Below are 25,970 nucleotides of genomic sequence, written 5' to 3'. Positions count from 1 at the left end.
GAGAGTAGGTCTGGGGCTGGGGGTGGGGCTGGCAGGGAGGGGAGGGAGGCAGGCCAGGCCTGCAGGTGCAGAAAAAAACTGCAACTTCTTAGCAGAACCTAGAAAGAAGAGGGCTAAGGATGTCAGGGAGTGGGGGAAGCCACAGGAGACAGTGACTTGCCTAAGGAGTAGTCAGGGGACAGGAGGAAGTCAAGAAATGAGTATTACCTAACAGAGGGGAAGAGCAAGGTTCTTCTGAAGGAGACATCTCAGATGGTCACACACTGAAAAGGAGTTAAGGGGCATGAGGGTGGGAAGATGCTATTTCGCCCAGCAATTAACAGGCCACTGGTCACTCTGGAAAGCTCAATTTTTGTACACCTAGAAAGGCAGGAGCCAGATTGCAGGGATGAGGAGGACAGTATGGTTGACAGGAAGTGGAGATGAGCAGAGGAGACTGGGCTTCATGCTGACAATCCCGAAGCTTCCCACTCTTCCTTTTGCTTGATTCGCTTTTAGCATTAGTGCATTTAAATCAGGGCAGTTCCCACTTTTTCCATCTTGGCTAGGACCCTTTAGTGAACTCTTCATTTTATCAAAGGCCTTTTTTATAGAAAAGGTTAAGTTCCAGTAAGAATGTTTTGAGTTTAGTTAGTGATTAATACACCCTGCTTCTGTAATTGCTGTAAATGAGGAAATCCACATTGTCTTACTCCAAATGTGTGGCAGTCCAGGAATGTTTTAATATTTTCCCTGAATCTAGTCTGTGAATAGGACTGGACTGCTTGGACTACCTGGATATAGGAAGGCCATGCTTCTGGGTCTCTGAAGAAAGTTAAAAAAAAAAAAACCCCAAAACCAGTAAAACCAACTTAAATTAATCCACTTATTTTTATTTATGTTTATAGTTATAAAGTATGCCTACGACTGTCCTGGTGGTATTAATTAGCTATGAACTGAATACTGGCTTGCCTCTTTGAGGTTGTTTCTTCCTAAAGTATGGAGGACTCCCTGCTTTGATCCCATAGCACCATCTGGTGGTTGACCTGAAAAGCTGAACTTTTGAATTTCTGGTTTTCTAAGTATAAAAGGAAAAGACAGAAACAAAACAAAAAAACTGTTTATTAAGAACAAATATAAAAGTAGTAAAGAAGTGTCTGTTATCCTTTAGTAATAGTTGTAATCCTCTTGTTTATGACTACCTAATTCAATAACCAAATAAAAAAGACAGATGAATATGTATCTCAGGTTCTTTTGAATCTTAGTTTAGTACTTGATACCCAGGGCTGGAAGTGTGAGCCCATCCTGCTACAGGTGGGATGAAAAAAATCCAGACTTTCATCTGATTCCAGACATGGGAAGCAAAGCTCAGGCCTTGGTAACAAAGTTACCATATCCCTGAAAAGGCACCCTCTTTTTTGTGACTTGGCTCTTTTTATATATAGTTACTTGTCTTTCTTCTTTCCCTTTAGCTGAAAATTGGGCAATTCTTGGCCAAGCTTTTGGAATTGGTTTTAATCCTGGGAAATGGGCATATTTATATGTGATTCAAGGCCCACCTCTATCCTGTCCCATGACCAACCTAAAAAAGACCATTTCCATAGAGCAACATAGCATGTCTATGAGAGGCAACAATGGAACTGTGAAAGTACATGTGCTCCCTGAAGGTGGTGAGACTGGGCAGAACATCTGCATGAGGTCAGTCTGTTTGTCTGCTGTTGCATCTTGCCTGGAGACAGACAGACACCACTGTTTGTTCTTTTATTTTTGTCCAGTCTTCTCAAGCTGGGTGTGTTGGGGCATGCCTGTAGTCCCAGCTACTTGGGAGGCTGAAGCAGGAGGATCACTTGAGCCCAGGAGTTCAAGTCCAGTCTGAGCAACGTAGTGAGACACCTGTCTCTATAATAAATAAAGTAATATGGTAGTAATAGGCTAATCCAAAGAAAAGCAGAAAATTATGTTGATAGCATCAGCCTATGAACAGGACCCAAACCTCAAAGCATCAGAATCAGAAAAGTTGAGATAAATAAGACATTCTAGAGGTACGCCAGAAGCGTTAGAGGCTGGTTGATGTGTCTGATTGATTCATTCATTTCTGTGTACCCACATGCCGCCCTGTTCCTCAGAGACTTTGAGCTTCCATGACAGAGGAAGAATAGGGTTTCTGTAAAACAAAAAGACTTCAAAGATGACTCAGGACATTGTCTTGGCAGACAAGGACCTTGCCATAAAGTGACTTGTTCAAGGTCACATAAGTAGTGGCATAATTGGAACTTGAACTCAGATCTGAATCTTTTCACGGAGTTCTTTTAAACATCCTATTCTCTCATCGCCCTCACTGGAAGTACAATTTAGCTTTTCTTATTTATTTATTTAGGCTTAAGTATCCTGCTTCTCTCATTATCTTCCTCATCTTCATCTCTCAACATCTCCTCAATCCTAAGAAAAAATAAAATTGCAAAAATTGTTGTTTCCATTTTGATATGACTTTCTATTTTGACTTCATTTTTATTTTTATTTATTATTATTATTTTTATTTTTGAGATGGAGTTTCACTCGTCGCCCAGACTGGAGTGCAATGACGCCATCTTGGCCCACTGCAACCTCTGCCTCCCAGGTTCAAGTGATTTTCCTGTCTCAGCCTCCCAAGTAACTGGGATTACAGGCACCTGCCACCATGCCCAGCCAATTTTTTTGTATTTTTAATAGATACGGGGTTTCACCATGTTGGCCATGAACTCCTGACCTCAAGTGATCCACCTGCCTCAGCCTCCCAAAGTACTGGGATTACAGGCGTGAGCCACTGCACCTGGCCTTGACTTCATTTTTAATTGGACTGGGAATTTACGAGATTAAAAACAAAAGGATTACCTTTTCTTTAAAAAAAAAGTATTTATTTGGTTAGGTTGCTAGCATATTAGTGTTAGGAGATATTTTATCATTTAAGCCATACTTGATATTATGTAAGCTCTCTCTCTCTTTCTTCCTTTCTTTCTTTTTTAGAGACAGGGTCTTGCTATGTTGCCTAGGCTGGGGTGCAGTGGCTATTCACAGGTGTGATCACAGTACACTAGAGCCTGCAACCCCTGGGCTCAAGTGAACCTCTCTCCTCCCTCCTTTAAGCCTCCCAAGTATCTGGGACTAGTGAATTACCTTTTCTTATAATGTAACACAGCTTCTCATGGCTCAACTGGAGGATACATCTCCAAGGGTACTTTTTAGGTCTCCGGATATGAGGCCTGACTAGCAAGGAGGAGACTATTTCCACAAATCACCTAAGAAATAATTTATATCACCTAGTAGCTATAAGAACATGTCCCATTGCAGGGACTCACTGCAATTCTCACTTCAAAAAACTCAAAGACAATTTCATACAGTAGCACTATTCATATGATTCAGAGAAATCACTATTTATTCATTCAACAAATATGTTTAGAGCATTTTCTATCTGTTGGTCACTAAGTAAAGCTACTGTGGAGAAAAATATAGGAACAATATAAAATGGCAGTGTAAAGATAGACCAAATATTTTCCTTTGGTAGGAAAGACATAAATTTATAGATATTCTTAACTGGGTTTCAAAACCGGAATTAGCTCCTAAGTCTATTTCAGGATCCAATTTGTACTTTAAAGGGGCAACTTTATAAGAATGAAGATTTGATACCTTAGCATTGTTTGATTTAGTAATACCACCACACCACCATCACACACACACACACACACACACACACACACACACACCCCTTTCAAATGTGTTCAGACAAAATTTTTAAGTAAAAGTCAAATTAGTTTTGGAATGAGAATATCTGAGATTCCTTGAGGTGATTATTAACATAAGGCTGAGAAACACTGTTATAGGTTCTGTTATAACTTACTGTTATCAGCTCTACAAATTCTGTTAGATGTGAATGAATTGCCTTTTACTTCAAATAAATATGAATTTTTTCCAAGACAATGCAAAGCATAAAATCATGCTTCCAAGTTAGCATAGTTAAACCAGTCCATAAAGACGGTTGTCTCTCCTCTCCTCAGATATCCCTTTTAGTAATGTGTTCCAGGTTTGTTTTCAAAATGCTGAGACCCAAGATACTTTCCCTGGTATTTAATCTGATTCTCCATGCACTCCTTTAAGCCCATTGCCTCTCCCCTGCTTTCCTTTTCTCAGAAAATAGCTGACAATTTTTACAACACTCTTGTGTATATTAAACTGTTATTGGACTTTTCCTCATCTCTCAATTCTTCTGGTTATCCCAATGTTCCTTTGTAAAAATTTGTCATGAGATTTATTGCCTCTGTCTTTAAGCCATCCTTAGGACTCTTTCTAGGTCACCATTAGGAAACTTCCATCAATTATATCTTCATATTGCAAGGCCATATTCTAACCAAGGCAGGAATGATGTTACATATGGTAGGGAGATTAATTTACAGTCCCTAACCACAAGCTCCTCCTTTCAGTGGCAGCAGCAGATTTGCTTACTCATTTGTGATAGTCAGATGCCTGCCCGCACCCTAACTTGTTTATTTTTGTGTGAAAACTAGCGCCTTCCTGGTAACTGTGCCTCAGAAAAAGTATCTAATATAAACTCTCATATCTTCTGGTAATGACACCTTCACCCAGTGCTGATTTTGATGCTTATTGAAGACACTTTTTTAGTGGGATTTCAAAGATGGGGATTGCTGTGCTTTTCAGTGCTTTATAATAGCAATGACAGGGAAAAGGGGTGGCAGCGGGGCGGGGGGCGTATTCCAAAGCCCCTATCTTTACCAACAGCTCATTCCCCACTTTTGGAAGGGATTTGGAAAGTCATATTTTTTCAATCTTCCATAACATACCGTGCAAAGATGACAAATATGAAACCTCAAACTTCGCCTTCTGTGTAGATTAGTGCCCTAAGCATAATCTATATTGAATTCAAGAGCTAGCAGTTAAACATTAGTCACATTATTAGTCAAATCAGTGTGCTTTTGTAAAAATGTGGCCCCCAAATCCCTGCCTTGAGCACCCAGTTTGTAAGTGTTGGATATATTTTGATGTAAAATTTGAATCTTTCTTCTCTTTGATTCATGTGAAATGTGAAGTATTCTTTATATCATTTCATGGCTGCAGAGAGCTTGTAATCCTGCTCCCTTTTATTCAATTATCAGTTCATGGTTTTGAAGTACTCTGATTTTATGTAATCTTCTCTTTCTAAAAATTTATTATAATATTATTTTTTGTATGTCCTCTTGCAGCCTGTCACATATTGGAATGCCACAATGGAATGGCCCAAGACGTCATAAGTACCATAGGGCAGGCTTTTGAACTCCGGTTTAAACAGTACTTGAAAAATCCTTCTTTGAATACTTCTTGTGAAAGGTCAGCCAAGAGTTTTATAATAATTTGACAATATATATATATGTGTGCATTTATCTGTATGTATTTATTTGTGTGTGTATATATAACATTAATGTGGCATTTTAAAATGAACTAATAAAATTAGTAATTTTTTTCTTGCAAATAGACACAGTCTCAGTACAAAATAATATTTTCCTTCCATTCATATTTATCCAGTTATATCCTCTTGCTTTGTAACAAGATTAAAAGAGATCCCTTCTCACTAAAAGTAAGAATAGATTATCTCTGTTATTCTAGCACTATAAAGAGCTTTGAATTAATTAATTGAAATCAAAATAATAAACATCAATAAACTTCTCAGATTTGTTTCAACCCCAGATCCTTTACATATCAGTTAAAAAAAAAAACACAGCAAGAACAAAGAGCAAAATAAGAATCAAATGTCTCTTGTAGGAATTCCTGTCAGTTGGTTTGCAATGTAAATAGATAGGCTTCAGCTAAACTGTGGTTAGAGTGGAACACGGTGGGACCCAAGGATTTGGTTGTTCTAAGGCACAGAAAGTCTGCAATGAAAGCTGAACCCTTTCAGGCCTGTCAGACCTCACCAAGTGTGGAATGCAGTGATGCCTCTGGCTCACACAATTCATGCCGGAGAAACAAAACTCTTGGGTACTTTAAAATGCATTTTCCTCTGGTATGTCACTTTGTGTATCAACAAATACTAGGTTTGGAGATCTCCTTTTATGAGGTAGTCTAGGGTAGCAAAGGAGAGGGTGTTACCAGGAGGCCTTGATGCTGAATTTTTCCCAGGATAGCACTTCTGTCTTAGTGCTATCATTTTATTGACATGTAATGAACCTAACAAAACTGTGTGAGTTGTCAGTTGAATCAGTTCAATCCAAATAGACTTGATTTATTCTTGTTTTTTTTTTTTTTTTTAGTAAGAAACTTTCCCTGATTCCAATTTGGAAGAAAAGTCTGTTTGTTTGTCTTGCCCTGTTTCAATTTTAAAAACAATTCCATGTTTATATAAATCTACCCACTTGCCACATATGGTTCTAATATTTCTGTGTTAATCCCATGTACTCCTCCAGATCTGTGCAGACAAGATAGCTGGCCATAGCTCTCTTATTTTTTTTTTCATTTTGGTTTAATAAACTGGGACAGGCCCTATACCCGAAGAACAATATTTAAATTTTATCTGGGCAAAACTTTCCAAAATGGAACAATCAAAGTGTGCTGGAGATACTCAAGAATACTTTGTATTTTTATGATCTTATGACAAAAATATCTTACATTTAGGAAGTTCATATATTGTTATTATCATTATTTTTATCACTGGAGGAGACACAAAAGCATCACCCTTGGCACTTTCTATTGGCTTACCCCGTTTTGTCTACAGAAAGCTAAACAACTCAACCATCTGACTGCTCCCATCCAAATGTTTAACATCACTTAAGCACAGCTATAAACTGAAAACATGAATGCAAAGTTTTTCAGGATGATTTGCTTGGTTCTGATCCCCTTGCATCCCTTACAGTATTTGAATTTTCGCCCAGCCTCTTGAGGATTCTTTTTTCCTTCACAGTGAGGAGGTGCATATTGATAGCCATGCCGAGGAGAGAGAAGATCATGAATATTACAATGAAATTCCAGGGAAGCAGCCACCAGTAGGTGGTGTTTCAGATATGCGGATCAAAGTTCAAGCCACGGAACAAATGGCTTACTGCCCCATACAGTGTGAAAAGTTGTGCTATTTGGTATGTAATGTTTTATTGTTGTTGGAACCAGCAATGCAATTCTGCCCTTATCACTAGAGCATTTACTTTGAGGATTTCCAAATGCTAGTTTAGAGAAAGTCCTGTCTTCCTCAAATACAGAGCCAGAGAATGAATAACTGTCAGAGGCTACACTAGATCATTTTTACTCCTAATCCCCCAATTGTAGCCTCAGCAGATGATCTCATATCTCACTTCACTGGGAAGACTGAGGCGATCCAACATGTTATCCTCAGCTTCACCCCTCCACAGCTCTAAGTCTGCCCATGTTCTCCTTGCTTCTCTTCCTTAGCAACTATCTCCAAAGCTAATCTTTTCCCTGTGCTTCTCATCCAAACCTCTCCTGCCAACTCTGTGTCCTAGTTCTGTCCAGTAACTTCTGTCTCAATCTTCACTCTTTCTCTATTGGTTCCTTCTGCCTGCAAAAAACTTGGACTCCCTCAACCCAACCTAATAATGTTCCACCTCCTTGTCATCTTCCTTTCACCCACAAACTTCTAGAAAGCATTGTCCCTGTCTTTGTGTTAACATGTGCACTATACTGGAAGATCTGAACTCTGCTTGACAATCTGATGGAAGTTACTTTTACAATGGTCACCAGTGGTTTAATTGCTAAATCTATTTCCTTCTTCAGTATTCTGTATCTCTTTATAATGTTTGACCCCTCTTCTTTTTTGTTGTTGTTATTTTTATAATTTCAACTTTTATTTTATTTTATTTTTGTTTTAGTTTTTTTCTTTCCACCTTTTATTTTAGGCTCAAGGGGTACATGTGTAGGTTTGTTAACAAGGGTAAATTGTTTATCATGGGGGTTTGGCATACAGATAATTTTGTCACCCAGGTAATCAGCATAGCACCTGGTAGCTAGTTTTTAAATCCTCACCCTCCTCCCACCCTTCACTCTCACATAGGCCCCAGTGTGTCTATTGTTCACTTCTTTGTGTACATGTGTACTAAATTCAATTTTTATTTTAGATTGAGGGAGTATGTGTGCAGGTTTGTTACATCAACATATCGCATGATGCTGAGGTTTGAGATACAAATGATCCCATCAGCCAGGTAGTGAGCATAGTAACAGATAGCTTTCAGCCTTTGCCCCCCTCTTTCCCTCCTCCTTTTAGTGGTCGCCAGTGTCAATTGTTGCCATCTTTACGTCTATGAGTACCCAATATTTAGCTCCTACTTATAAGTGAGAACATGTGGTATTTGGTTTTCTGTTCCTGTGTCAATTCACTTAGGATAATGGCCTCCAGCAGCATCCATGTTGTTGCAAAGGACATGATTTTATTCTTTTTTGTGGCTGCATAGTATTCCATGGTGTATATGTACCACATTCTCTTTATCCAATCCACCATTGATGGGCATCTAGATTGATTCCATGTCTTTGCTATTGTGAATAGTGCTGCGATGAACATAGAAATGCATGTGTCTTTTTGATAGAACAATTCATTTTCCTTTGGGTGTATACCCAGTAGTTGGGATTGCTGGGTCAAATGTTTGAGTGCTGTTTTAAGTTCTTTGAGAACTCTCCAAACTGCTTTTCACAGTGACTGGACTAGTTTACATTCCTACCAACAGTGTATGAGCATTCCCCTTTCTCTGCAGCCTTGCCAGCATCTGTATTTTTGCCTTTTTAATGATAGTCATTCTGATATGATATGTGATATGTGATTGTGGTTTTGATTTGCACTTCTCTGATGATTAGTGATGTTGAGCATCTTTTCATATGTTTGTTGGCTGCTTGTATGTGTTCTTTTGAGAAATGTCTGTTCATGAAATTTGCCCACTTTTTAATGGGGTTGTTTTTTGCTTGTTGAATTAAGTTTCTTATAGATTCTACATATTAGACCTTTTTGGATGCGTAGTGATTGTGAATATTTTCTCCCATTCTGTAGATTGTCTGTTTACTCTGTTGATAGTTTCTTTTGCTGTGCTTAGAAGCTCTTTATTTAGGTCCCATTTGTCCATTTTTATTTTTCTTGCAATTGCTTTTGAGGATGTAGTCACAAATTCTTTCCGAAGGCTGATGTCCAGAATAGATTTCCTAGGTTTTCTTCTAGGATTCTTACAATTTGAGGTCTTAACGTTTATATATTTAATCTATCTTGTATATGGTGAAAAGTAAGGGCCCAGTTTCATTCTTTTGCATATGCCTAGCCAGCTATCCCAGCACCATTTATTGAATAGGGAGTATTTTCCCTATTGCTTATTTTTGTTGACTTTGTCAAAGATCAAATGGCTGCAGGTGTGCAGCTTTATTTCTGGGTTCTCTATTCTGTTCCATTAGTCTATGTTTGTGATTTTGTGCCAGTACCATGCTGTTTTGGTTACTGTAGCCTTATAGTGTAGCTTGAAGTCAGATAATGTGATGCCTCTGGCTTTGTTCTTTTTACTTAGGATTGCTTTGGCTATTTGGGCTCATGTTTTGGTTCCATATGAACCAACTGTTTTTGGGTATTTTTTTCTAATTCTGGGGAAAATGATGTTGGTGTTTTATTGGAATAGCACTGGATCTGTAGATTGCTTTGGCTAGTATGGCCATTTTTATGATATTGATTCTTCCAATCCATAAGCATGGAATGCTTTTTCATTTGTGTCATCTGTGATTTCTTTCAGCAGTGTTTTCTTGTTCTCCTTGTAGAGACTTTTAACCTCCTTAGTTAGATGTATTCCTAGGTATTTTATTTTATTATATTTTGGTGGCTATTGTAAGTGAAATTGTGTTCTTGATTTGGCTCTCAATTTGAATGTTACTGGTTTATAGAAATGCTAGATTTTTGTACATTGCTTTTGTGTCCCGAAACTTTATTGAAGTTTATCAGTTCCAGGAGCCTTTTGGCAGAGTCTAGTGTTTTCTAGGTATAGAATTATTACAGCCAGTGAAGAAAAATGCTTATTCCTTTCCTATTTGTATGTTTTTTAATCTCTTTCTCTTGCCTGATTGCTCTAAGACTTCCACCTCTAAATTTTTTTATTTTTTATTTTTATTTTATTTATTTATTTATTTATTTATTTATTTTTATATATTTTTTTGAGACAGAGTCTCACTCTGTCACCCAAGCTGAAGTGCAGTGGCGTGATCTCGGCTCACTGCAACCTCCGCCTCCCAGGTTCAAGCGATTCTCCTGCCTCAGGCTTCCAAGTAGCTGGGATTACAGGTGCATGCCACCATGCCCAGCTAATGTTTGTATTTTTAGTAGAGACAGGGTTTCCCCATGTTGGCGAGGCTGGTCTCAAACTCCTGACCTCAGGTGATCTGCCCACCTTGGCCTCCAAAATTGCTGAGATTACAAGCGTGAGCCGTCACGCCTGGCCCTACCTCTTATTTTTTGAGACCTCTTCTGTAAGCTTCCAAAACATTTCCACCTTTTCATTCTCTTTCTGCATCTCTAGTTGCTGCTTTCCTTTCATTTTCTCACATTTTCCAACATTTTATTATGAGTATTTTTAAACATATAGACTATTTGAAAGAATTATACAATGAACACTCACATACCATCTCAATTCTACAATTAACATTTTATTATATTTGCTTTATTACATATGTAGCTGATTATCATACATTGATCCATCTTATTTTTGATATGTTTCAAAGTAAGTCTTACCTTTTCTTTTTATGTTATCATTTATTTCATCTCCTCCAATAAAAACACAAGCCCTGCCCTACCACCACATTAGCACTCTCCTAGGCTCTACCCTTGGCCTTTATCTTGCTTCTGGCAGGCCACTTGTGTACACACTTCCTCTACCTTCTCTGTCTTTGGCTCTTATGTATCTCTCTAGCTGTAATGCCACATTGCACTACATTGCTTATCTATATCAAGGTTGAACTCAGCATTTTCTCCCTGACTCCAAACTTGATTCCTCTACTGATTTACTCAGGTTTATTGATGGCACTGACAGTCTTTCATTAATCTACAATCTTCTGTTTTTCTCACACTTTGGGCCCCATATCAGTTCAGTCTTCAAGACCTAGGATTCTACCATGAAAATATGTTTTGAGTCTATCCAAACTTTCCCGTTTCTACTGCCTCTTTCGAAGTCCTGGTCCTCACTTGCCTAGATGATTCTGAAAGACCATTTCCTGACTCCAATCTCATTCCCTCAAACCCTCCTGCACAGTGCTGCCAAACTAATCTTTCTAAAGACACTGTTCATCTCAAAGGCATCAAGTGGATCCCTCCCCCACAGTATATTGCTGACGAGAGTTGTATGTACAGGGATGATCGAAGTTCTTTGGATAAGATTTTCAAGGGTGAGACGTGAGCCTGGCATAAACCTGAGTAGAGTAGAAATCCAATCTACCAATTCAAAATTAGACAGAGGTTGGCTACATGGCCAATGTTTATAGCAGTGTCCTGAAAATCACTTTCTGGCTGAGACTTGGATTGAGTTCTGGCATGTGACTTCTCAAGCAGAAGCAGTAACCCTCAGGACACAGGACACTGGTAGCCTTTAGAACCCCCCAGCCGAATCAGAACCAACTCTGCAGCTCCAAGGCGATGAACTATGAAGAGTGTTCTCTGTTCACCCCAAATATCCATTTTCTTTTCTTACCTGTCAAACATTTCCTGTGTCAGAAAGTGAAGTCTGCTATATTCTTCTGGGATTATTATAAATTTTTTCTTTTAAGTTTATGAATGTGTACTATGTTTGTAAATGTTTCATAATTTGTTGTTCATGCAGCCTGGAAACTCCAAGTGCAGCAGTGTATATGAGAACTGTTTAGAACAAAGCAGGGCAATAGGTAGGTACAATGCCCTTCTCCATCTGCCACCCTCCTTATTCCTTGTAAGTCCTATGGACATATGTGGCCCTTGCTCTTAAATACTTCATTGAAAAGTCAGGTATCTACCACTAAACACATAATCCTTTGACTGTAGGCTTCTCAGATAGGCCCAGAATGTTGCATATGTGTCACTAGGAAGGCTCATGGTTCTCCCTTGCTCTTGTGTGATCTGCCATGATGATGGTTTTGCTTTATGGAGTCTTTTACTGCCTTGAAATCATGAAAGCTCTCTCTCTGGAAAGGTGCTTTCTCTGCTCGAAACCCAAGGGAGTTCCACTTCAAAGAAGATCAGGAGTAAGCTAATGTGAAAATTGATGCCTGTCAGATCCATTAGGATTAAGATAAAATCTTTATTCTGGCTTGGCAAAGGGAACGAAAGGATGTCTGAAATGTGAGAATCTCATTTAGGAGCTTGTCCACCCCATACTTGCCAGAGTAGTAAATGTTTTATTACTGCATGTGATCATTGATGTTGGACAAAACTTTTCCACAACCTTGACTATCAGATTGGAAATATATTTTAATTAAAACATGTTATATTGTGAGTTAGTCATTTTAATTCCCATTAGTTGTTGAGCATATTTATTTCTTCAGGAAGGAAAGTTTTGCAGTTTTAGAGGGGGAGATGACTGAACTGTATAAATAATGCAGTGGAGAATACAGATGGATAACCATATTTAAGGACTCAAATTAGCAGGAACTTGCCATCTACAAGGTAGTCACTTCCAAGGATACTTTTTTATTTCTTATGGAATTACACCAATGTAATATATTAATTTTATTATTTTTTATATAGTGAAGGATACATGAAGATTTATTCTTTCTGGTATAGGTATGATTACCACCTTCCTCTATCTTGTAAACGGAGTAGTGAACCTAAGGCAACATTTTATTTTAGTTTAGTTTAGTTTATTTATTTATTTATATTTATTTATTTTTATTTCAGACAAAGGCTCACTCTGTTGCTCAGGCTGGAGTGCAATGGCGCAACCTCGGCTCACTGCAACCTCAGCCTTCCGGGTTCAAGCGATTCTCCTGCCTCAGCCTCCTGAGTAGCTGAGATTACAGGCACCCGCCACCATGCCCAGCTAATGTTTGTAGTTTTAGTAGAAACGGGGTTTCGCCATGTTGGTCAGGCTGACTTCAAACTCCTGACCTCAAGTGATCCACCTGCCTTGGCCTCCCAAAGTGCTGGGATCACAGGCGTGAGCCACCATGCTGGGCCTAAGGCAGTATTTTAAGTTCTGTAAAAATATGCCTTCTTATGATAGAAATTAAAATTCCATGCCATTCTTTAAAGTTATTTAAAATTCCAAACCAATCTTTAATAATATTACTAAACAAATTAAATTAATGGCAAGTATGAATCTCTTAAAAGTTATGCTCTCTGACAGCCATATTTCCTTCCTCTCTCCTTTCCGTCATCCTGGAGGTTCTTAACCTAAGGATTTAATAGTCAGGAACGTACCACGCATGCCTTGTGGTATTGCAACCATGTTCTCCCCTGTACTGAAGCTCACTTGGAAATACCTCCATGTCCTATTTTATCTCATTCATGTATTCTTCATTTATTCAACACTTTATTTAATGACTACTTACTGAAGACTTCCCATGGGTCAGGCACTGTGCTGGGTGCTAGAGCTAGAGGCACAACTGGCACTCTTGTAGTTTGCAGTTTAGCCAGGAAGACACACCTTAAACAAATGCCTACAAATATGAAGAGTGTTTCAAAGCCCAAGATGTTATAGGAACAAATAATGGGGAAACCTAACTTAATTGGGGAGGCTGTAGAGGCTCTCCCTAAGGAAGTGACAATCAAACCAAGGCCTGAAGGATGAGTGGGAATTATCCAGGCACAGAGAGGGAGGTAGGAAGGAAGTAGGAAAGGGACATAGGGAGAGAGGGAGAGAGAGCAGGGGAAAGAAGAGAGAGAAAATAAATGGGCACCAGAACTAAGCATGCCAGGACCAGTTCCCAGATCACTGGGACAGAGAGAGCTCAGAAGTAAAGAGAGAAAGATGAGTGTCGAACCTACAACAGCATCCTAAGGATCTTCAAAATGTTCAGTCCTGCCCAAATACCTCCCTTCCCAGTTTGTTTCTCTCCTCTCCATTAAATAGTCAGCATAGCCACATCCCTCCTGTCCTTAATAACCCAGCTTCTGAAGGGAACTCACTGAGTGAAAGTCTAGAAATGGACATTTCTAGAATTATGTTGAATGGGCTAAATCACAATACTACCACTAGAAAAAGGGGACATGGTTTCCCTTCTTCTTTTTCCCCCAAGAGTTCTCAACTTGATTAATTAAAAAAAAATTCTTAAAACACCCATCTCCAAAAACATAAATTTATGAAGGAATTAATGGATATGAAAGTATTTTAACGTTAATTCAAGATTTTTCTTTTTGTAAGTGTAGTCTTGCAGATTATCTTAGTTTTATTTCTTCTTTAAACCAACAAACAACATAATCCCTTATTCTTATTTACATATATATTTCCCTAAGCCACTATAAGAAGATTCAAATACATTAACAGACTTTAATAAAAGTTTGTTTGGAGCCTGGGATATATTTTTATAGAATTAATCCTAGCCATGATGGTTAACTCTTAGACAAGTATACTATATTCTACTATTCTGGTTTGCCTATATTGAAGCTTAAATGTATATTTTGTAATGACAGATAAAACAATAGAAAGTTCTATTGGATACTCCCTTTGTTAATGGTGGCTGTAAGGTAATGATTGTAACTGGGAACTTCGGAATCTTGAGGAGGTGAGATGGTGTTTGCAGTTAAGAAAAGTCCTCCACCTAGATACTTTGCTCCCCCGTAAATCACTGAATTACAACATTGTTTCCATAAAAAAGCCATTTCTGAGTTCCGGTGAGGAACCAGAATGCTCAGAGGCTATCTCTCCAAACCTTAGCTACTAAAACCATGGTGGGATGGAAGGAATCAACCCATGTCCCAGTGGCCATGACAAGTAAGGTCCCTCCTACTGTGGCAGGAGAGAGTTTCCTACTAGTGTCCTTTCATCCCTAGGCACCTATAAATCAGGTAATCCTATCTTGAGACCTGTCTTTGATTACTTGGGCATATGTTTTTATGTTTTTTTTGTTTGTTTTTTTTGTTTTTTTTTTTTTTTTAGACGGAGTTTTGCTCTTGTTGCTCGGGCTGGAGTGCAATGGCGCCATCTCGGCTCACTGCAATCTCTGCCTCCCGGGTTCAAGCGATTCTCCTGCCTCAGCCTCCTGAGTAGCTGGGATTACAGGCATGCGCCACCATGCCTGGCTAATTTTGTATTTTTAGTAGAGACGGGGTTTCTCCATGTTGGTCAGGTTGGTCTCGAACTCCCAACCTTAGGTGATCTGCCCGCCTTGGCCTCCCAAAGTGCTGGGATTACAGGCGTGACCCACCACGCCTGGCCTACTTGGGCATATGTTTTTAAAGTAATCCGAAATTCTTGACCAATGAGCAATTTAATAGCAGTTGCCAGAATAGCAAATATGTAGTTTTTGTGGCTTTTCCCAGAGATTCATATATAGGCATTTGAGAGATACCTATAGAAATATTTTCAGTAGCCTCCGAAGACATCCATTTATTCAAATATTGACTTCAAACTTGAATTCCAGTGTATTATAAATACTGCAGTAGCCTCTGGTTGTTGAAAGAGTTAATTGTATTTATCACTAGACATAGAAAAGATCCTTATCCTTCATACTTATGGAAAAATTCCCTCATGGAAAACAATAATTAGCAAAATAGAATAATGTTTCCCTGACCTTCCAGTTAAATTGAAATGTTGATATTTTTAATCAAAAAGACATTAAGTTCCCACAAACCCTAAGGGCTTACACTTTAAAATGTTGTTACTTACAGTGTATATACTGTGTATATATTTATTTTCCTCTACAAATCTTCTCTTAGGAAAGCTGGAAAGGGTCTTGGAGTAATACAAAGAACTTTTGGAAGGCGTACTAGCTGGCATCTGTGTCTAAGCCCTCGTCAACCAAACACTTCAGCCTAGAATGATTTTAAATTTGAGTCTGGGGTGGGCTTTTCTTTTTTTTTAATTTAAGGCAACATTACCAACTTAAATATAATGGCCCATATGAAAAAAAAAAAGGGGATGGCAGTTTCCTTTCTTTCTTTTTTTTTTCAGTACTCTATTGTGCGCTTAAAGGTGGCAGTTTTCAAGAGAGGCTAGATATAAACACCGATGTTTTTGGTGTCATCCTACGGGATGGTAAAATTGATGTGGTTAGCTCAGGCTAACGCTTTGTGAGGGGCAGATGCGTTAGCACCCTGTGCTGTGGGTTGATCCAGAGTCTTCAAAACGTGGTGGGGTTAAATATGCCAACAAAGGAAGATTGGATAGACATGCAGATATTTGTCCAATCAGCTGATAAACATTTTTCTTTTGAGCACCTGCTTCATCCCAAGCACTGAAGATGCAGAAGATACACAAATTGGATGCGTTCTAGTCTTTCCTCAAGGACACGAGGAATTTGCAGTCTCAAGGGGGAAGACAGAAGTAAACAGATTCTTGCAGTATATCATGAAGTGGCACCATTCCCAACCTTAGGGAGGGAAGGATTCAGGGGAAGGCTTCCTGAAAAAGATGGTTTCAGAGCAGAATCTTGAAGGACAAATAAGAATTAAGTAAAGTAAAGGAGGGGGAGCATATTGCTGTAAGAGATAAGCATCTTGTATGGAGGCCCAGCATCAATGACTAAATAATAACTGAGCATCAGTGGGAACTATTTATCGAATACCTGCTATAAGGCAGGCACTATGCTCAAGTGTCTCACCAACATTATTTCACTTAGTCCTCACAACAGTATTTTAAGCTAGGCACCCACATTTTACAGATATGAAAACTGAGTCTTAGAGAGGTTAATTAACTCATCCCAGACCGCTCAGATAGTAAGAGATACCCCAGGGATTTGAACTCAGGTCCATATGAATTTAAAAGCTGACTTCTAGCCAGGCCCGGTAGCTCACACCTGTAATCCCAGTGACTCCGGAGGCTGAGGCAGGAGGATCACTTTAACCTAGGAGTTCGAGGCTGCAGTAAGCTGTGTTTGCATCAATGCTCTTAAGCCTGGGTGACAGGGTGAGATGTCAACTTAAAAAAAAAAAAACTGACTTAAGCCACTTTCAAGCACTTTTGATTATATTTCACTTTCAGTAAATTTTTATGAGCAGGCACTCCTACATAAATGGTTATTTAATAATGTATAAGTTGTATACACATGTGCTAATATATTAATATGCATGTATCATAAAACACAAATATAGGAAAATTTAAAGTTAGAGTAGATGATAAATAAACATTTTTTACAAAGACTTGCTAATTACAACAGCTGGATGCTATCATTAGATAATATCTCAAGGTCTAGTATGCATTTAGAGCATTTATTGAAAAAGAAAATAGATGTAAATCTACACTTAATTCCTGATAATTTGAACATTTGAGGGGCCAAAGCTCTGATCTGATTAGATCATTCTCGTTTATAAGCTCCTAATGCAGCTAAGGAGGAGCTTGTACTAAAAGAATTATCCTTAATCCTTCATTTCTTTGCAGTAATTTTTTAGCCACTTTCCATTTGTAAAAGCAAGTTTAGTTTAAACTAGATAATATAACTTATAAATCCACTTAACTAAGCAAATGGAAACTATCTTATAGGTGGTAAAATGTACAAAACAGATGAGGCACCCTGTCAACTCCTCCCTCTGTAGAAACCTCACTCGTGTTTTAGGATACCCCACATACAGAGTATGACACATGACAAGATGACATGTAACAGCTGACAGACAAGGAGTAAAGGAGAAGCAGGTGGTAAGACTGCAGACTTCTGACTGGGCTTCTCCTGCTTGATGTATTCTTACTTTCCATACTATGAGTTACAAGTGTCATAGCATTATTCACCCTGATGTGAAATTCAGTATGTGGTTGGTCCTTGGACCACACTGAAAAGGTTTAATGACTAAAGCAATAGAAGGACTAATGTTGTCTTACATTGGACTGTCACTAGTTCAGGTGCAGCCTTATGATGACCATGAGCACATATGGCTAGCTATATGGCTAGCACATATTCTGTTTAACTAAATAATAGAATAGAACATAAATAACAGAATGAATTACTGTCATGATATGGACTTTGGAGGTTGTATTCATATGTTCTCATGCTGCTAATAAAGACATACCCAAGACTGGGTAATTTGTAAAGGAAAGAGGTTTAATGGACTCACATTTCCACATGGCTGGGGAGGCCTCACAATCATGGCAGAAGGCAAAGGAGAAGCAAAGGCACATCTTACATGGCAGCATGCAAAAGAGCTTGTGCAGCGGAACTCCCATTTATAAAACCATCAGATCTGAAACTCATTCACTACAAGGAGAACAGTATAGGGAAAACTGCCCCCATGATTCAGTTATCTCCACCTGGCCCTGCCCTTGACACATGAGGATTATTACAATTCAAGGTGAGATTTGGGTGGGGACACAGCCAAACCATATCAGAGGTCAAGTGCAAACTGCTAGGAAAGCAGAGATCTATTCTGGTCTGGAAGGTCAGGGAAGGCCTTCCTAAAGAAAGAGATGTTTAAGTTAATATCTGAAGGATGACAGTGATGGAGAAAAGGAGTGAAGAGCATGTTAATTAGAGGAGACAGCCTTTCGATGTGAGATCATACTGCAGGAAGGCCAGTGTGACCCCAGACAGAGGCTGGGGAGGAGAGAGGAAGAAGGGTAGCTGGGTAGACAGAGCAAGGCCTACAGCTTGTTAAAGAGCATGGGAAGCAATTGAAGAGGTGTGAAACCTCTGAGAAATATGACCGGATTTGCAGTTTTTAAAAGATTATTTGGGCTACAATGTGTAGAATAGAATGGAAGGGGAGAGGACAGATTAATAGAGGAGGAGGAGATAACCTGAGGCTTGAGTTCTTTTCATTGAATAACAGAATTAAACATCAGCAATTGGTGCAAGGCTGAGGTTGGCAAGAGCAAACTTTGAGCATAGAGAGAAGCCAGACTTCCTACTCTTAAGAATTTTATTGTATTCATTCATTCATTTTTTATTTATAAATTAATTTAGTTCACAGGGAATAAGGATTTAAAATTAATCAGTTTTGAAAAGTTTAATTATAGATAATCAAGTTCAATATGACATGTGTGTTTTCCTGATTCCTGGGCAACCCCTCTGAGCAGTGTTGAGTGCAGGTTTGTGCTGTTTGCTGAGACTATCAGCCCTCTTTCTTCCACGGCTGGTCAGTCCTCTTTGGATCTTCCTGCTTGTCTTCTGTCTGCTGTTGACGCAATTGGTCAGCTGAGGGCTGGGCCCGAGAAGGGAAAGAAGCCCAGTGAAAGGGTGGCTTTCCCTCAGAGACTGGTGCTTATTTTGATTTTCCAAGTCAAACCTAAAAGTTAAGTGTTCAATCATTGTATAGGGTGGGGCATGGCCTTTAGGTTTCTATCAATTCTAGACTCAAACATGATTTTATTTACTATTTACAAAGAAAAAACATAATGTATTGATCACTACTAATCACTACAGGTAATGTCCATCCAAGAGGGGTGCAGTCCCAGCGAGATACCTCATTATTGAAGCACACGTGCCGAGTGGATCTCTTTGATGACCCCTGCTACATTAATACACAGGCTCTTCAAAGTACACCTGGCTCTGCTGGAAATCAAAGGTCAGCCCAACCACTGGGGAGCCCATGGCACTGCGGAAGTAAGTAGCTACTCACTGTCTGTATTCATTTCTTAGGGCTGTTTTAACAAATTACCACAAACAGAAATTTATTCTTTCACAGTTCTGGAGGCCAGAAGTCCAAAATCAAAGTGTCAGCAGGGTTGGTTCCTTCTAGGACCTCTGGAAGAGAATCCATTTTATGCTTCTCTTCTAGCTTCTGGTGGCTGCTGGCAATTCTTGATGTCCCTTGGCTTGTAGACACATCACTCTAATCTCTGCAACTGTCTTCATATTGACTGCCCCTGTGTCTCTATTTCTTGATCTCCCTCTCCTTCCTCTTACAGGACAACAGTCACTGGATTTAGGAGGAGATGAAATGATTGTATGAGATGAGACTAATCTCATCTCAAGATCCTTAATTTAATTACATCTGTAAAGACCCTTTTGCCAAATTAGGTCATGTTCACAGGTCAGGGATTAGGGCTTGAATTTATCTTCTTCTTTTCTTTTTTTTTCTGAAGCAGGGTCTCATTCTGTCACCCAGGCTGGGGTACAGTGGCATGATCACGGGTCACTGCAACCTCTGCCTCCTGGGCTCAAGCGATCCTCTCATCTCAGCCTCCTGAGCAGCTGGGACTACAGGCACGCAACAACATGCCCAGCTAATTTTTGTATTTTTTGTAAACACAGGGTGTCATCTTGTTTGCCCAGGCTGGTCTCAAAACTCCTGGGCCCATGCCATCTGCCTGCCTCGGCCTCTCAAAGCATTGGGATTACAGGCACCACCATGCCCGGCCTTGAATTTATCTTTTTGAGGGCTACTATTTAACTAATTGTACTATCTCATATTTCAAGAAGGCTATTTTCTTGGTCTGATTTTCAGGGATTGAGTTTTCTTTCTTTACCTCCATCCTTCACCATAGTTAATATCGATTAGAGCTTTGTGGAGTTGTTTTAGGTTTCAAGGTTTAGAAATGTTGATTTTGAATAATCCTTTCAAATACTTTAAATTTACTTCGAACTTTTGATTTCTACTACGTACTTTTGCTGAAAGTAGGGCTGTCAAGGCCAGGAGATAATTTTGAATTTGTTTATTTGCATGAGTCACAGTGGCTACTGTTTCTGTTAGGGATAGCATTAATTTTATTCATTTCAAAACCCCTTAATAAGTCATCTATAAAGCACTAAAATAAGTTGGCTCCTTTCTTCACCCATGTACTGTGGGTAAAATACAATAAGACAAACATCTTTCCTGCCAAATTACTATCATAAACAGGAACATAAATAAAAATAAAACAAGCCAAAAGCCTATAATCAACTGAAAAATAAACAAAAAATGCTTTTCATAAAATATTGAAGTTGTTTTGTTCAGAGATTGGCATGGTGTCAAATTTGGTTTGCTCCAATGATGGAGAGCCAGTCACTAAGAAAATCCTTTTAATAGTCCAGGAGATTTCTCCAGAACTGCCAAAGACAGCTTTCCAGTTAGTGTGGCTACAATGCAAGACAAAATTTAAAAGATTTTGTTGAGCCTGGATCTCAGCAGACCGTCTTAACTGTCTAGATTAAGAACCAGGGGTCCTTATTGTCAGCCAGGTGACAAGTGATCCCTCTTTATGCTGACTTTCTAAGATCACTCCTGACACCCTATTCAACCAAGCTGGATTCTCTGGAAGCAGATGCTAAGATGAAGCTTGGCAGGCAGGGTCTGTAAGAGGATCAATATCAGGAAGCAATGGAGAGGAAGTAGGATTGGCTGGAGTGGGAGATGGGACTACAACACAGGCCTGACAAAGCCTCAGCCAACACCAAAAAGCCCATGTGGTCTGTCGGAGTTGTCCTACATTGGGCCCAAATGGCTGAGCGTATATAGCCCCATTTATCTCAGTCTTGGGATGTGGGCCACACCAGGAAAGTCAAACCCTGGGCAGCTGAGGCAGAGCCAGAAGGGCTGGTCAGCTGCAGGCTGACTGCTGACACCTGGGGCAATGGTGCTTCCTTGAAGGGAGATCTGGGCAGTGCATCTCTGTGGCTACCACAGAGGACATCTTATGTGACGGGTGATGAGATGTGAAACAAATTCAGATTTTTGCTGTTAAGCTTACTCAACTGTGCAATGGGAAATGTCCTGTGTGGATAGGTAATGTTTGTTACAACTTTTTGGAAAAAAACCCTTTCTGGACCTTAGATTTTATAAGAGTATATTCTTGATACCTTTCATTTCACGGACTTTTCAGAGCCACACATATTATCAGAGAACTTATTTAGTGGGTGGCCCAAATTAGGTGATCTGGAATATTCTTTGATTCACAACTCCAGTTCCTTTATAATTTAGTCTTCAAAGTTAAAATTATTCATAATCCAAGCAAAGGAACTTTGCCTTTTGTCATAGGCAATTCAATAATATGAAATGGCAAAATTAATACATAACAAAATTTCTATCATTCATTGAAAGTAAATAAAGTCTGCCTTGTCCAAAATTGTAATGTCAAAATGTATTTTCTCTGACTCTAGCCTTTTTTCCTCACCTTTCTCCCTTTCCCTGCTTTGGTGGCAACATATTTAATAATTTAGGCCTTTGGTACGATCTCCCTCTTTATTTCCTATTAGGATTTAATGTACCATAGCGCTCTTGGGCTCCTTGCTGCCCTGTTGAGGTTAAATTCAACATTGCTCCCTCCAAAATAAATCCAACTCCAAAACCTTAAATTATGTTGATTTAAGAACATTTGATAAAGAGATGGGGTGAGGCTTCGTGGCTTAGCTGGTTAAAGCACCTGTCTAGTAATAAAGAGATGGAGTGGGGATAGCTTTATACATACTTTTTAATAAAATGTCTTAACTGCACCTTTAACCTTCCCCCATAATGGATCCTTCTATTTTCTTCCTTCCTGCCTCAAAAATCCTCTTTAGCTTCTTTAGGCATACTTAGCCTCCCTTAGCCAGAAAAAAAAAGCTTTTGATAATTCAGTATAACCAAACCAAACAAAAACAAATCCAGAGTTACTAACCTAATGTCTCTCAGGTATGCTCTTAGGGCTCCTCAGTTCATCTTGTCACACTACCAACAGAAAAAAGTTCTGACACAATCTTTATTCTCACCAAACATGGCAGAAAGATTCCCTGAGTTCTGGTACTAATTTTTGTTTTGATTTATTGTTAGTTTCTGTCTCAGTTGCCATAACAAATACTGCCCCCGCCACCCCGCCAAATGCTGTAGTGTAAAAAGGGCTGACATTTATTTCTTTTACCTAAAAGCTCAAAGATTAGTGCCACGGGATTGGTAGGGTAGCTTTGTCATTCTCAACATCTGGTTTCCATCTCTGGTCCAAAGTGGCTGCTTGGGCCCTCATCATCACATTTGCATTCAGCTAGTGGGAAAGGAGAAAAGCAAGAGGAGCACATATATATTTCTTTAAAGGATGTGACCCAGAAGTGGCAGACATCATTTCTTTTCACCTGCGATTGGCAGACCATAGACATGTGACCACACCTAGCTGCAAGGAAGGCTAGAAAAATTACTCTAGCTGGGTGCCCAGCTAAATTTAGGAGTTCTGTAATGTAATGAAAGGGAGGATAGATATTGGTAGATGACTGTCTCTGCCACAAATATTCGTGAACTTTTCTTTTCACATAGAACATATTTGCCTTCTCCCCAAGGAAGACATTGCAAGTACTTATACCATTACAGCATCTAAGATTAGATGAAGATCCTTATTATCTGCCAAGTTGTCTGCCACCCTCCATACCCCAAATTAGCGGGGGAAAAGTAATAAGGTAATTGCAGTAGAAACTCACATTCACAAAAGGGAGGAATGCAACAGTGTGGGACAGCAGTCACTGGTCCACAACGATGACCAAATCTGGCCAGGCTAGAGTTGTGAAGACTACATGAGCTGGAAGTGGAGAAAGCAATTTGCTTGGATCCTGGTTCAGCTTTAGGAAAGGACTTTTGGTGTCCACTGTCATCTGTGGATCCAGATGATGCCATCTGGGTTGTTCCTACCATTGTTCTTCATGTGCATACTTAAAGTAGATGTTGGAGAAAGTGCCTTTCTTGGGGGCTTCGCCACTTTTACAGGCTATTTCCCACTGTGGTCATGAGAGATTAGAGTTCGCTTCAGGGGCCAAAAGCCATGGACTAGAAGGGATTGTGATTTCTTTGGCGATGTAGTTTCCTTGAAAACTTGGCAGGATTCCATTTTATTAGCTTAGAGGCAGTTCCGTGTGGAGTTTTCCACAATATTCCTTTATTGTCTTTTTAGTGCCTAAAACATCCATAGTGGTATCCCTTCTCTCTTTCCTGTTATTGGTAATTTTCTCCTTTTTACTTGATCAGTCCTCTTTTAGGTTTATTAATTTTATTTATCTTTCCAATGTGCCCAAGTTTTGGTTTAATTTTCTCTGTTGTTTTTTGTTTTCAATTTCACTGATTTCCATTTTATTTTTATTATGTTTTCCTTCTACTTGCTTTGGATTAAATTTTCTCTTTTTTATCCAACATCTATTATATTTTTTAAATATTGGCTTCATAGTTTTATTTTCATAATAAAATATTTATTCCCCTTGACCTTTATAGATTATGTGAGGTTGGGGATCTAACTTAATTTTATCCATGTTTGTCAATTTTCCAAACACTATTGATTGAGTAGTCTCCTCTTTTCCCTGATGCTACTTTCTATTATATCAAGCTCTTAGTATATATGTGAATTTGTTTCTGGGATCTTTATTATGTTTTTTCTATTGGAGCACTTGCCTTTTCTCAACCAGCATCTTAATTACTATATACTAATTGCTATGCCTTTGTAACATGTCTGACAGACATTTAATTCTTCCTTTACATTGCAAATAATTTTTCTCTGGGTACTATCTGAACCTCTCTCTCATTTATGCTTAACATTTCATGTTAACATCTTTTTCTACCAAATGTTCAGGTACTTTGTGTAAATGAACATATTTTTCCTTTCAATGCAAATACATTTTTATTTTAGAGTTTTCATACACCCAGTAATCCATACTAATAAACAGTATACAGTCAATTATCATTATTCACAGATTCCATATTTGAGAATTAGCTTACTTGCTAAAATTTAGTTGTAACTCCAAAATCAATACTCATGGTCCTTTTGCGTCATTTGTGGCCATGCACGGAGCAACAAAAATTTTCAATCACCCAATGTGCACATTCTCAGCTGATGTCAAATAAGACAACGCTCCGCTTTCTTGTTTCAGCTCTCAGTTATAATAATCCCCTTGTATACCTCCTTATTTTACTCTTCTCTTTTAGAAATGTGTCTGTATAAACATACAATCTTCACTATTTTAAATTGCTCTATAGTATTCTATTGTATGAGTGCATCATGATTTATGTAGTCAGTCCCTTATTGATGGACATATCAATTTTTCCAGTGCTTTGCTAAAATAATAATTAATACTATAAAAATTGTATACAGGTGCTTTTAAAAAATGGGATTCATCAGTGTGCCATCTTTATAGTTCATATTGGTTTCTTTAAATGTCTCATCCTTTCTTTCTCATTGAGATTACTTTCAATTATTTAATCCAGATTTTGCGTGTTAGATTTTTTTCTCTTCCTTAAACTGTATTTTCCCTTTTAGAGGTTTTTGCCCATTAGATCCATTTGGGTGTGGATAGCCATATCTATACTGTGCTTTCTTGAAGGTCTGATTGTGAACAATATGTCTTTAAGTGCCAATAGGAACTCCAAGATGATATGATTACTATCTTCTATAAGTCCTATCACTTTTTTATGGTTTCAATTAAATCTAGATTGGCCTTCCTTATTACTTCCTTAACCTCCACTACTTCTTCTCAGAAAATATGATTATATCAATTCAGCAATTTATTAAATATTACACATAAATTATATATAAATAACCATATTTAGATTATAATTATTATTGTCAAAGTCAACTTATGCATTAGAAAAGGAGCAAGATAATAGATAATGTACCACAGTGTTAAGAGCGGTTTTATTTAGTGATGAGACCATAGGTGATTAATTTTATTTGTTTTTCTCTTTCCTAGATTTTAAAAAGCTAGTATGTGTAACTTTTAAAATTAAGCAAAATAAACAAATTGTTATCTATTCTGGCAGAATCAGATTTTCAGCAAATGTTTGGATGATTGAAATCTCCCAGCGGAGTATCTTGTCCTTCTGCTAATTTGGGAAACTGTTAGGGAAACATTGTCCATTTCCTCTGGTTGGCCCACGATCCGTTGCCTCTTTTCAAGATGATATAATGTCTCTTTTTCTATTGTTTTGTCTTTGTCCAAAAGCTCTTCACCATAATCTCAGAATAGACCAAAAGCCATCACGCATTAAGACGTGTATACCCACACACTGCGTGCATGCATTCCTCCCACACTCA

At 38.6% G+C, this 25,970-nt stretch overlaps 1 protein-coding gene across 4 annotated transcripts in view, besides 2 other annotated features; it reads left to right on the top strand.

Moving 5' to 3' along the window:
- SHC4 (SHC adaptor protein 4) overlaps positions 1-25,970 on the top strand; it is a 140,179-nt gene that overhangs the window by 100,894 nt on the left and 13,315 nt on the right. For all 4 annotated transcript variants that reach the window (NM_203349.4, XM_005254375.4, XM_047432493.1 and 1 more), the window contains 4 exons: positions 5,211-5,334; positions 6,902-7,073; positions 11,778-11,838; positions 19,438-19,617. In NM_203349.4, the coding sequence (NP_976224.3) occupies positions 5,211-5,334; positions 6,902-7,073; positions 11,778-11,838; positions 19,438-19,617 (537 nt within the window). The remainder of the gene's footprint in view (positions 1-5,210; positions 5,335-6,901; positions 7,074-11,777; positions 11,839-19,437; positions 19,618-25,970) is intronic.
- Positions 7,180-7,474: a silencer, noted in NCBI's record as "tiled region #4235; HepG2 Repressive non-DNase unmatched - State 3:PromF". NCBI's record gives its function as "represses a minimal TATA promoter and a strong SV40 promoter by Sharpr-MPRA in HepG2 cells {active_cell/tissue: HepG2}" and the evidence as "EXISTENCE:reporter gene assay evidence [ECO:0000049][PMID:27701403]".
- Positions 19,032-19,199: a silencer, noted in NCBI's record as "fragment chr15:49136024-49136191 (GRCh37/hg19 assembly coordinates)". NCBI's record gives its function as "represses an EF-1alpha promoter that drives an FKBP-Casp9 reporter gene in an ReSE screen in K562 erythroleukemia cells {active_cell/tissue: K562}" and the evidence as "EXISTENCE:reporter gene assay evidence [ECO:0000049][PMID:32094911]".

The sequence above is a fragment of the Homo sapiens genome, chromosome 15, assembly GCF_000001405.40.
Source record: "Homo sapiens chromosome 15, GRCh38.p14 Primary Assembly".
Taxonomy (NCBI): domain Eukaryota; kingdom Metazoa; phylum Chordata; class Mammalia; order Primates; family Hominidae; genus Homo; species Homo sapiens.
This window is presented reverse-complemented; position numbering and strand designations above follow the sequence as displayed.